General features: G+C 38.7%; 1 pseudogene; it reads right to left on the bottom strand.

The window, feature by feature from the left end:
- Positions 1–2,873: 2,873 nt before the first annotated feature.
- Positions 2,874–11,155, bottom strand: LOC102724962 (angiogenic factor with G patch and FHA domains 1-like; annotated as a pseudogene).
- Between the last annotated feature and the right edge of the window lie 472 nt (positions 11,156–11,627).

Raw genomic sequence — 11,627 nt, 5'->3', positions numbered from 1 at the left:
TCAAGTGTTAATTATATCACGTTTCACTGCATCACATTGTACCTTTTACACTGTACAGTGATCCAACCAGAGTGATTAGCATATTTAAAAATTTAAATATTTATTTCCTTGTCTAATAAAGTTCAAAATCCTCTGTTCAAGCTATTATAGAATAAACGGTACATTATTATTAGCTATAGTCATCGTACTGTGTAATAGAACACCAGGATTTATTCTTCCTAACTGTAATTTTGTACCCAGTGACAAAGCTCTCCCCACTCTCTCATCCTTCTGCCATCGATAACCTATGTTAACCACAATCCTACTCCCTACTTGTATGAGATGGACTTCTTCAGATGTCACATGAGTGAGAGCACGTGGTCTTTGTCTTTCTGTGACTGGCTTATTCCACTTAACATAATGTCCTCTACAGTCATCCATGTTGACACAAATTACGGAACTTCATTCTGTTTTATGACTGAACATTATTCCTGTGTGTGTGTGCGTGTGAGTGTGCGTGTGTGTATAGCATTTTCTTTATTCATTCTGTAGATGGGCCCTTATACACTGTTGGTAGGAATGTAAATTACTATAATCATTTCCCATTTCTATAGGGAGAACAGCATGGAGGTTTTTCAATTAATTACAAATAAAACTACCATATGATGCAGCAATCTCATTACTGGGTTTATATCAAAAGGAAATAAAACAAGCAAGTCAAAAAGATAACTGCACTTTCATGTTTTTTAAGCAGTATTCATAATAACCAAAACCATTATTTCTTCTTAGTATTTCTTAATTTACCTTTTTTTCATATATTACACCCTAAACTTTTAAAGGATTCATGTCTGGTTTCCAATTTCTGAAACTTACGAGTCACTGATTCTTTGACTATTGCCTTCCTGTTTAAAGAGTCTAGTAAAACAATTGAATGTCTTTTATTTCCTCTCAATCTAACCTTCATATATAAATATATTTATATTTTCTATTAATTTGCCTTGTATAACATATATGACTACATTAATTGTGATCAGCATTTCACTTTACTAGTCCTCTTTTCGGCTCAGCCTATTTTAATATGTAACTTATATGTTGTACATTAAATTGTTTTACAACACTTTCAATACTTTACTTTTCATTTGCCTCTTTTCCAAAGATAACTTGACAAGCTCGTAGTTTCTTTCTACATTATTTTGGTTTCTTGTTTTTCCATTATATTGACTTAAACATTTAAATGTAAATTCAATATCTGAGATTTATGTGCCATATTTCTTCTGATGCTTCACCCCAGTAGCTCATCTCTTTGTGTGCAACATAATCTATAATTTAATCATCACATATGGGAGACACCACATTCCAATGCCTGCAGGCAGTTCCTCTTTGTTTATTCCATTTGCCTTGTCAGAAGGGAACAACCCACATGGACCTGACATTCTTGTGATCAGACGCATCTGAGTGGAGCCCTGGCCTGTTAGGTTGATTTCTTCTCCAGCTCATTACCTTTATTTACTTCCAGTCCTGGGAAATTTTATTAATTTCATTTCAACTATATTAGGCATTCTGTGAATTCTTGTAACTTCTTGGTGATTTTAATTGTCTGCATTAAGTATTTAAAGTAAATTATTTTTCTGAAAAGCAGAAATATCCATAGTTGCATATATGAGTGAAATACTTTACAGAGATTTTCTATGGCATCTATCACTATCTCATGAGAAATTCCAAGTTTTTTCATTTGAAACACCCCTCTCATCAATAGACCATATTGTAATAATCTGTAGAATGTGATTACTTTTATGCCATTAGAAAATTAATTATATATTGTGTATATATTTTTGAAATACTCCACTGCAATAAATAGTATATGGTCAAAAGTATTGTTTTCTCTAAAATAAAACAAATATGAGTAAAATTATTTACCTGAATTTGGAATTTTTGTCTTCAATCGCCATTCTGTCTCATCAGCACTTCCTTAATCCATAAAAGATATCATTTTTATTTTTAATTCTTAATTTATAGAAATAAATTATTTAACGTTATCATGTTTTTATGGCAATGTAGGACATTTTTAATAAATATATTGAGCTTGAGGCCCTGGCTAAGTATTCCTTTTGTACAAGAAATCAGATTTTTCTGGCACAACTTCATTGCCTGCAATGGTATTTTTAAAAACTATGAATGTCAGCACACAGACTATTTCAACACTGTACTCTTTGTTCATGTATAAACATATCATTAGCTATGAAACAAACCAAATACAAATGCTGAATGTATAGTACATATCAACAAATTCAGATTCTTCATCAAAGAAAACAATAAAAGATGAATTTTCTATGACATGTCACCGTTCATTAGTTCTTTCATGTGATTTAGGCTATTCACATATTAGAAAATGTATGCACCACTATCCATGTTTTCTCAACATTTTTTGTATCTAGGTCCTGAAGGGCATAAAAAATGTATATTGTCAGATTTATTTTTATTGACTTTCAATGTTTCTTTTGCTGTATTTTCTGTGCATCTTAGTATGAATATATGGAGACAAGGACAAATGTACATTTAAGTGGTTATATGAATTTTGCTTATATGGCTAATTGCTTATATGGATGTTGTAAATGACAAGATAAAATAGTAAAGTTTGATAAACTTATCTGTGCCCTGTGAACTTTAGTTCACTTACTGTATAACTTAATTCAGGCACTAATAATTAGTTTAAAAAGTGTTTTTTTAAAAGCTGCCAACCACACTTTATTACACATTTCTGAATCAGGAAGGGGTAAATTGTGACATAGTTTTCTTGTGCCACTGAATTTTTTGAGGAGAAACGTTCTGCAATAAAATAAGAGTTTCCAAACTCTATTTTTAAAAAAGCTTGAGTTTTCTTCTGTGATTAACCTTCACTCCTCAGTCTCTTTTACCCAAGGAATGGTTCCTAGGTCATCTTTTGGAAGTTTAGTTTCTGGAAAGTTTTCAGCAAACCTCTCCTGTGCTTTGTCCTAGTTTCTGTTCTTGTTGTTTTGGAGAAGGTGAGCCTCTTTAATTGAGGATGGTTTGCCTGTCTCCAATCCTGCATGTGTCTGCCGAAGCTGAAGCTGTATCAGAGTTTTTATTCTCCCACCATCATTCCCCAGGCCTTCTCCTGTTTTCAACACATCTTTTTCAACATCTTCTGACTTTTGTCGCTATCAGTAATTTCAGAATGAACAGATGCAGGAGCATCATCTCTTTGGAAATTTCCTTCGCTTCCAATCTGCTCCCTATGTTTTCCAGCTCTGTCGTTATAGTTTACATTCTCTAGTATCTTATCATCTTCATAGTCTGTATTCTGTAAACCATATTTTACTCATATATTTTAAAAATCCTTTTCTTCTTTCCAACTCGTTTCCTTCTTAGTTAATGTTGGACCAACAAATGATTCATCTTTCTTATCAAGGAAAAGGTGAGCTCTAACCTACCCTGGTTCACATCCAACACAGCTATCACGTCAGGGTGAATATGATAAGATAAGGAGTTTCGATATCATGAACTTGCTGATCTGAAAGTTCAGTCACTCACTTTATTTGGAAGACTAACATCATTAGAGTAAGTCTGATAATAATCTGAGATTTGATTCTCAGAATCTTAATAGGAACCAGTGCTGTGGTCAAAATACAGTCCAGCATTTTCATCATAACTAAATCCAGTCTGTGATAAAGCCGCTTCTGCTGTAGCTCTCAAACTTCCAGCTAATGACGGACCTTCTAAGGATATATCTTGTGCTGCTAATGCAGATGCTGGCTCCTGTGAATTTGAGGCAAATGACCCTCTTGTCTACATTCAACATTTGCTGTTTTATCAGTAGAAGGGTGAGCATCATTTTCCATTTGTAATTGGTCTTAAGAATTCAAAGCAGGAGTTTCAATATCCTGATCTTGCTGATCTGACAGTTCAGTCACTCACTTTACTTGGAAGACTAACATCATTAGAGTAGGTCTGACAATAATAATCTGAGATTGACCAAGGATCATGGTTCTCTGTGAGTACTTCTACATCACACTTTCATTATCTCCATTCCCCCCACAGTGGAGCACGTTACTGAGTTCTTCCAGCTGCGTGAGGAGCTCCTGGCCGTTGTCCGTGTCGCTCTGAGCAGCCTTTCTGTGCAAGGCCAGCTTCTCCCCTTCCCGCACCTGCCGCCGGCAGCTCCGCAGTCGCTTTCCAGCTTCTCCGCCCTCCTTCTCTGGGGGCCCGCTGGGGTTCGGGGAGAGGGAGGGGCGGCAAAAGCGAAGGCGCTGGCGGGGGGAACGGGCCCGGGGCCCTGAGTTCGGGCGCAAGACGGCTGCAGCCTCGAAGGGGCTGCGCGGGGCCGAAGCGCAGAATTGAGGAGCCACAGGCCACGGGGACGCACGGGCAGCCACAGGCAGCCTCCGCGGCCTGGACACCACGAAACGCGAAGCCTAACGGGGCTGCGGCAAAGAGCAAGGGGACTGCGATGGCCCTGCCCTATCTTCGCGGCCTGGAATCCCGGGAAGGATTGTACCTTCGCCAGCCATTGGGGCCGGGGGAGGAGCGTCGAAGTTCAGGGGCCAGAAGCGCTCTGGCTGTTCTCGAGTTGAGCTGGAAACAGTGGCCAAGAGTGTTTTTTTTTCCGGAATTCTTTTTTTTTTAAATTTTATTATTATTATACCTTAAGTTTTAGGGTACATGTGAACAATGTGCAGGTTTGTTACATATATATATACATGTGCCATGTTGGTGTGCTGCACCCATTAACTCGCCATTTAGCATGAGGTATATCTCCTAATGCTATTCCTCCCTCCTCTCCCCACCCCACAACAGTCCCCGGAGTGTGATGTCCCCCTTCCTGTGTCCATGTGTTCTCATTGTTTATTTCCCACCTATGCGTGAGAAAATGCAGTGTTTGGTTTTTTGTCCTTGCAATACTTTGCTGAGAATGATGGTTTCCAGTTTCATCTGTGTCCCTACAAAGGAAATGAACCCAACCTTTTTTATGGCTGCATAGTGTACCCCGGTGCTTATGTGCCACATTTTCTTAATCCAGTCTATCGTTGTTGGACATTTGGGTTGGTTCCAAGTCATTGCTATTGTGAATAGTGCCACAATAAACATACGTGTGCATGTGTCTTTATAGCAGCATGATTTATTATCCTTTAGGTATATACCCAGTAATGGGATGGCTGGGTCAAATGGTATTTCTAGTTCTAGATCCCTGAGGAATCGCCACACTGACTTCCACAATGTTTGAACTAATTCACAGTCCCACCAACAGTGTAAAAGTGTTCCTATTTCTCCACATCCTCTCCAGCACCTGTTGTTTCCTGACTTTTTAATGATCACCATTGTAACTGGTGTGAGATGGTATCTCATTGTGGTTTTGATTTGCATTTCTCTGATGGCCAGTGATGATGAGCATTTTTTCATGGGCTTTTTGGCTGCATAAATGTCTTCTTTTGAGAAGTGTCTGTTCATATCCTTCACCCACTTTTGATGGGGTTGTTTTTTTTCTTGTAAATTTGTTTGAGTTCATTGTAGATTCTGGATATTAGCCCTTTGTCAGATGAGTAGGTTGTGAAAATTTTCTCCCATTTTGTAGGTTGCCTGTTCACCCTGATGGTAGCTTCTTTTGCTGTGCAGAAGCTCTTTAGTTTAATTGGATCCCTTTTGTCAATTTTGGCTTTTGTTGCCATTGCTTTTGGTGTTTTAGACATGAAGTCTTTGCCCATGCCTATGTCCTGGATGATATTGCCTAGGTTTTCTTCTAGGGTTTTTATGGTTTTAGGTGAAAGGTTTAAGTCTTTAAACCATCTTGAATTAATTTTTGTATTGACCACATAGTTGGAAGTAAAGCACTCCTCAGCAAATGTAAAAGAACAGAAATTATAACAAACTGTCTCTCAGACCACAGTGCAATCAAACTAAAACTCAGGATTAAGAAACTCACTCAAAACCGCTCAACTACATGGGAACTGAACAACCTGCTCCTGAATGACTACTGGGTACATAACAAAACGAAGGCAGAAATAAAGATGTTCTTTGAAACCAATGAGAGCAAAGACACAGCATACCAGAATATCTGGGACACATTCAAAGCAGTGTGTAGAGGGAAATTTATAGCACTAAATGCCCACAAGAGAAAACAGGAAAGATCCAAAATTGACACCCTAACATCACAATTAAAAGAACTAGAAAAGCAAGAGCAAACACATTCAAAAGCTAGCAGAAGGCAAGAAATAACTAAAATCGGAACAGAACTGAAGGAAATAGAGACACAAAAAACCCTTCAAAAAATTAATGAATCCAGGACCTGTTTTTTTGAAAAGATCAACAAAATTGATAGACCACTAGCGAGACAAATAAAGAAGAAAAGAGAGAAGAATCAAATAGACACAATAAAAAAATGATAAAGGGGATATCGCCACGGATCCCACAGAAATACAAACTACCATCAGAGAATACTAAAAACACCTCTATGCAAATAAACTAGAAAATCTAGAAGAAATGGATAAATTCCTCGACACATACAACCTCCCAAGACTAAACCACGAAGAAGTTGAATCTCCAAATAGACCAATAACAATCTCTGAAATTGTGGCAATAATCAATAGCTTACCAACCAAAAAAAGTCCAGGACCAGAAGGATTCACAGCCAAATTTTAGCAGAGGTACAAGGAGGAACTGGTACCATTCCTTCTGAAACTATTCCAATCAATAGAAAAAGAGGGAATCCTCCCTAACTCATTTTATGAGGCCAGCATCATCCTGATACCAAAGCCTGGCAGAGACACCACCAAGAAAGAGAATTTTAGACCAATATCCTTGATAAACATTGATGCAAAAATCCTCAATAAAATACTGGCAAACCAAATCTAGCAGCACATCAAAAACTTATCCACCATGATCAAGTGGGCTTCATCCCTGGGATGCAAGGCTGGTTCGACATACGCAAATCAATAAATGTAATCCAGCATGTAAACAGAACCAAAGACAAAAACCATATGATTATTTCAATAGATGCAGAAAAGGCCTTTGACAAAATTCAACAACTCTTCATGCTAAAGACTCTCAATAAATTAGGTATTGATGGGACGTATCTCAAAATAATACGAGCTATCTATGACAAACACACAGCCAATATCATAATGAAAGGACAAAAACTGGAAGCATTCCCTTTGAAAACTGGCACAAGACAGGGATGCCCTCTCTCACCACTCCTATTCAATATAGTGTTGGAAGTTCTGGCCAGGGCAATTAGGCAGGAGAAGGAAATAAAGATATTCTATTAGGAAAAGAGGAAGTCAAATTGTCCCTGTTTGCAGATGACATGATCGTATATCTAGAAAACCCCATTGTCTCAGCCCAAAATCTCCTTAGGCTGATAAGCAACTTCAGCAAAGCCTCAGGATACAAAATCAATGTGCAAAAATCACAAGTATTCTTATACACCAATAACAAACAGTGAGCCAAATCATGAGTGAACCCCCATTCACAATTGCTTCAAAGAGAATAAAATACCTAGGAATTCGACTTACAAGGGATGTGAAGGACCTCTTCAAGGAGAACTACAAACAGCTGCTCAATGAAATAAAATAAGATACAAACAAATGGAAGAACTTTCCATGTTCATGGGTAGGAAGAATCAATATCGTGAAAATGAACATACTACCCAAGGTCATTTATACATTCAATGCCATCCTCATCAAGATACCAATGACTTTCTTCACTGAATTGGAAAAAAAAAATACTTTAAGTTTTATATGGAACCAAAAAAGAGCCTACATCGCCAAGTCAATCCTAAGCTAAAAGAACAGAGCCGGAGGCATTACACACTACCTGACTTCAAACTATACTACAAGGCTACAGTAACCAAAACAGAATGACACTGGTACCAAAACAGAGATATAGACCCATGGAACAGAACAGAGCCCTCAGAAATAATGTCACATATCTACAACCATCTGATCTTTGACAAAGCTGACTAAAACAAGCAATGGGGAAAGGATTGCCTATTTAATAAATGGTTTACAAAAATTAAGAAGCCAAGAGTGTTTTAAATCGAGTTTCCAAGTGGCTAGATATGACCTGCTGGTCACTCTTATATTTTTTCTCCTATTTTTTTCTCCATTCATTGAGCTATGTTTGACAAATTGAAAAGTGTATATTTTTAGGGTGTACAAGAGGGTTTTGAGATGTGTATACATCTTTAAATTATCTCAATTAAGCTAGTTACCATATGTGTCCCCTCACATAGTTAATACATTTCTGTGTGTGTGTTGAGAGAACCTGAGATCTACTTTTGCAACAAATTTCAAGTACACAGTATTGTTAACTATAGTCACCATTGTGTACATTAGGTCCCCAGCAGTTACTCACCTTATAACTGAAAGTGAACCCCTTCCATGGATATCTCCCCACTTTCCCTCTTACTAGCCCATGGGGACCACCGTTCTACTCTCTTTCCATGACTTTTTAATTTTTATTTGCTTTTCTAGATTTTACATACAAACGAGATCATGCAGTAATTGTCCTTCTGTATTCAGCTTAAGCTTTCTCTTAGCATAATATGTTCAAAATTTATCAGTATTTTTTGTAAATGAAAGTTTCATTTTTTATTAAAGCTGAAATTATATACCTCTCAGTTTATTTATTTATCTGTATCAGAGGAGTGCAGATACCCTTGACGATACTGACTTTATTTCCTTTGGCTATATACTCCGAATTGGGATTAATGGTAGTTCTAGTTTAAAAATTATAAGGAACCTCCATGCTGTTTTTCATAATAGCTGCACCATTTGACATCCTCAGCAACAGTGTGCAAGTGTTCTCTTTTCTCTGCACCCTAATGATTTTATCCTTTGACTTTTTGATAATAGGTATCCAAACACCACGATAAGGTGATACCTCATTGTGATTTTGATTTTAATTACTCTGATAATTAGTGATGTTGAACATTTTTTATATATCTATTGGCCATTTGTATATCTTTGGAAAAATTGCTATTTATATATTTTACCCAATTATTAATCAAGAAATTGCTTTTAATTCTGCTGTGGGTTCTTCTTTTGTATTGAATAGTATGATATACGTTTTGGATAGCAACATATTATCCCACCTATGGTTTAGAAATGTTTTCTCCCATTTCATATAATGCCTTTATATTTTGCTGATTGTTTCCTTTATTGGGCAGAAACTTTTTACTTTGACATAGTTCCACTTGTTCATTTTTGCATTTGTTGACTGCGCTCCTGCTGCCAAATCCAAAGCATCATTGCCATGACCAGTGTCAAGGAGGTTTTTCCCCATTTTTTTAGAGGATTCATGATTTCAGTTCTTATGTTTAAGTCTTTATTTCATTTCAAATTCATTTTGTGATGGTATGAGAGAAAGGTGTACTTTTTGTCTCTGCATATCTAGTTTTTCCTACACCACTCCTTGATGTGTTTATCCTTTCTCTATTCTGTGGGATAGGTTGACTGTATATTTGTGAGTTTATTTCTGGGTCCCCTATTCTGTTATATTGGTTTTTATGTAGGTACTATACTATTTTGATGGCTATAGTTTTGTAATACAGTTTGAAATCAGGAAGTGGGAGGCTTCCAGCCTTTTTGTTCTTCTCAGTATTTGGCTATTTGAGGTCTTTTGTGATTCCATACTAATTTTAAAATAGTTGTTCTGCATTTTTAATAAAATGGCATTAAAATTTTGATAGAAATTTATTTAACCCTGTAGATCACTTTGTGTACTATGGATATTTTAACAATATTTTTAGAATCCATGCATACAGGATATATTTCCCATTTTGTATTCTTCATTTTCTTTCCTCAACATTTTATAGTTTTCAGTATGCTGATTTTTCATATTCTTTTTTCTAAGTGTTCCATTCCAACACTTTGTTCCTAAGTGTTCCATTCTATTTGATAATATCGTAAATGGAATTATCTTTATTCCTTTTTCAGATATTTTATTGTTACTGTAAAAACATGCACCTGATGTTCATATGTTAATATTGTATCCTGAAAATTTACTGAATTGGTTAGTTATAACAGGTTTTTTTTTTCTTTGTGGTAAAATGGTGGGTATTCTGAACTCTGGTTAAACTTTAAATTGATAGTTGCTATTATCATTTCAAAATTATTTAAAGTATAACCAGATGGATTCCTTCTTTCATGAATTCAAGTCTTCCCATTCAAAATAATTATGTGTGGTTGACCTGGGTCCTGGGGATTTGGGTCCCCCCGTGGGAGCCAGGAGATTCGGTCGGGGGTGGGAGGGAGAAGCGGTCAGAGAGGGGACAGAGCTGGGGAAGCAAAGAGGGGCTCCAGGACAGCCAGGAGGAGAGAGGGTCGTGTCGGAGACCCAGTGGGGAGAGAGAGTGGGCCAGAAAAGGAAGAAGGGTGAGAGGGGGAAACAGGACAGCTTCCCGGCGCGGCAGGGAATTTTGCTGAAACTGAGGGCCCCAGGGAACAGCGTGGGCAGGGTGGGAGGGAGTGGAGAGGACCCAACAGACTCCAAGGTCAGTGTGGAGAAAGGGACATTTCCCGGTTCATTCGCCTCTGCCCAGCGTTCTGCGGGCATGGAACCCCCAGGGGCAGGGGAGGAGGTGGCTCCCGGCGGGCTCGGAGAACTAAGGGGTGCACACCCACTTCGCAGGGCGGGGGTGAAAGGGGAAGACTGAGAGGGCTGTGGATCTCGCTGGCCCCGTGGGTGGGCGCGGGAGTGCGGGGGGCGGGTCCGAGCTCAGGGGCCCAGCGCCGGGGCCTGCAGGTGGTCCTGGAGGAATCTACAAGCACCAGCCAGTGCAGCAGGATTTCCAGAAAACCAGTGTGGATGGCGCCCTGGACACGCCCTTCCCAGCTGGAACATGTGTGAGGCTGAAATTTAAGCTCCGGCAGACAGAGAAGTGGCCGGAGAAAGGATTGGAAGAAACCCAAGTGCCAAGTCCAGCCCGAGGGGAGGAAGCAGAAATGGCTGACCTGCATCAAACTGGGCTGTCAGGATAAGGTTCTGGGCAGGATGGTTCGCTGCCCTCCAGAGACGCAGACTCGGCAGGAGCCTGAGGAGCACCAGGAGACCCGGTGCAGCTGGGCGGAGCGGGCGGTAAGGACCCCAGAGCTGCTGCTTCCCTGCACAGTTCGCCTTCTCCAAGGCCCGGCCCCCAGCGGAGTCCAGCGCTGAATCGCATGGCGCCCACTGGAAGCCCTGGCGGGGGTAACCAGTGGAAGATCTCACCTCCCAGGGAGAAGACTCCACTGTATCCTCAGTTAATAAAACTGTTCTCTCTCCCCAAAAATAAATAAATAATTTTGTCTGGTCTTTGAAAATGTGTATCCTCTGTCTACTGGTCAAAATGCTGCCCATTTATCCATATGCCTAATTAGTCAAACTTTTTAACCTTGTTTTTTATTATGAAACAAAACAGTAAATTTGTTAATGGTTTAGCTATCATCTAATATGATTGAAAATATGTCAATTTGTCATTGCCGATGAACCTTTGTGTTATTTATTGTACTGTTACATATTCTGTCCATAAATGTCTAAGGGGCTTAGAACCTTGCCTAACATATTGTATGTGCTAAGTACCAACTACTCTAATGCGTCAAATTGTCTTTCTATACCATTCTTAAAATAGAATATTTTTTATTTATTTTTATTAA

This window comes from Homo sapiens, unplaced genomic scaffold (assembly GCF_000001405.40).
Source record: "Homo sapiens unplaced genomic scaffold, GRCh38.p14 Primary Assembly HSCHRUN_RANDOM_CTG17".
NCBI lineage: Eukaryota > Metazoa > Chordata > Mammalia > Primates > Hominidae > Homo > Homo sapiens.
This window is presented reverse-complemented; position numbering and strand designations above follow the sequence as displayed.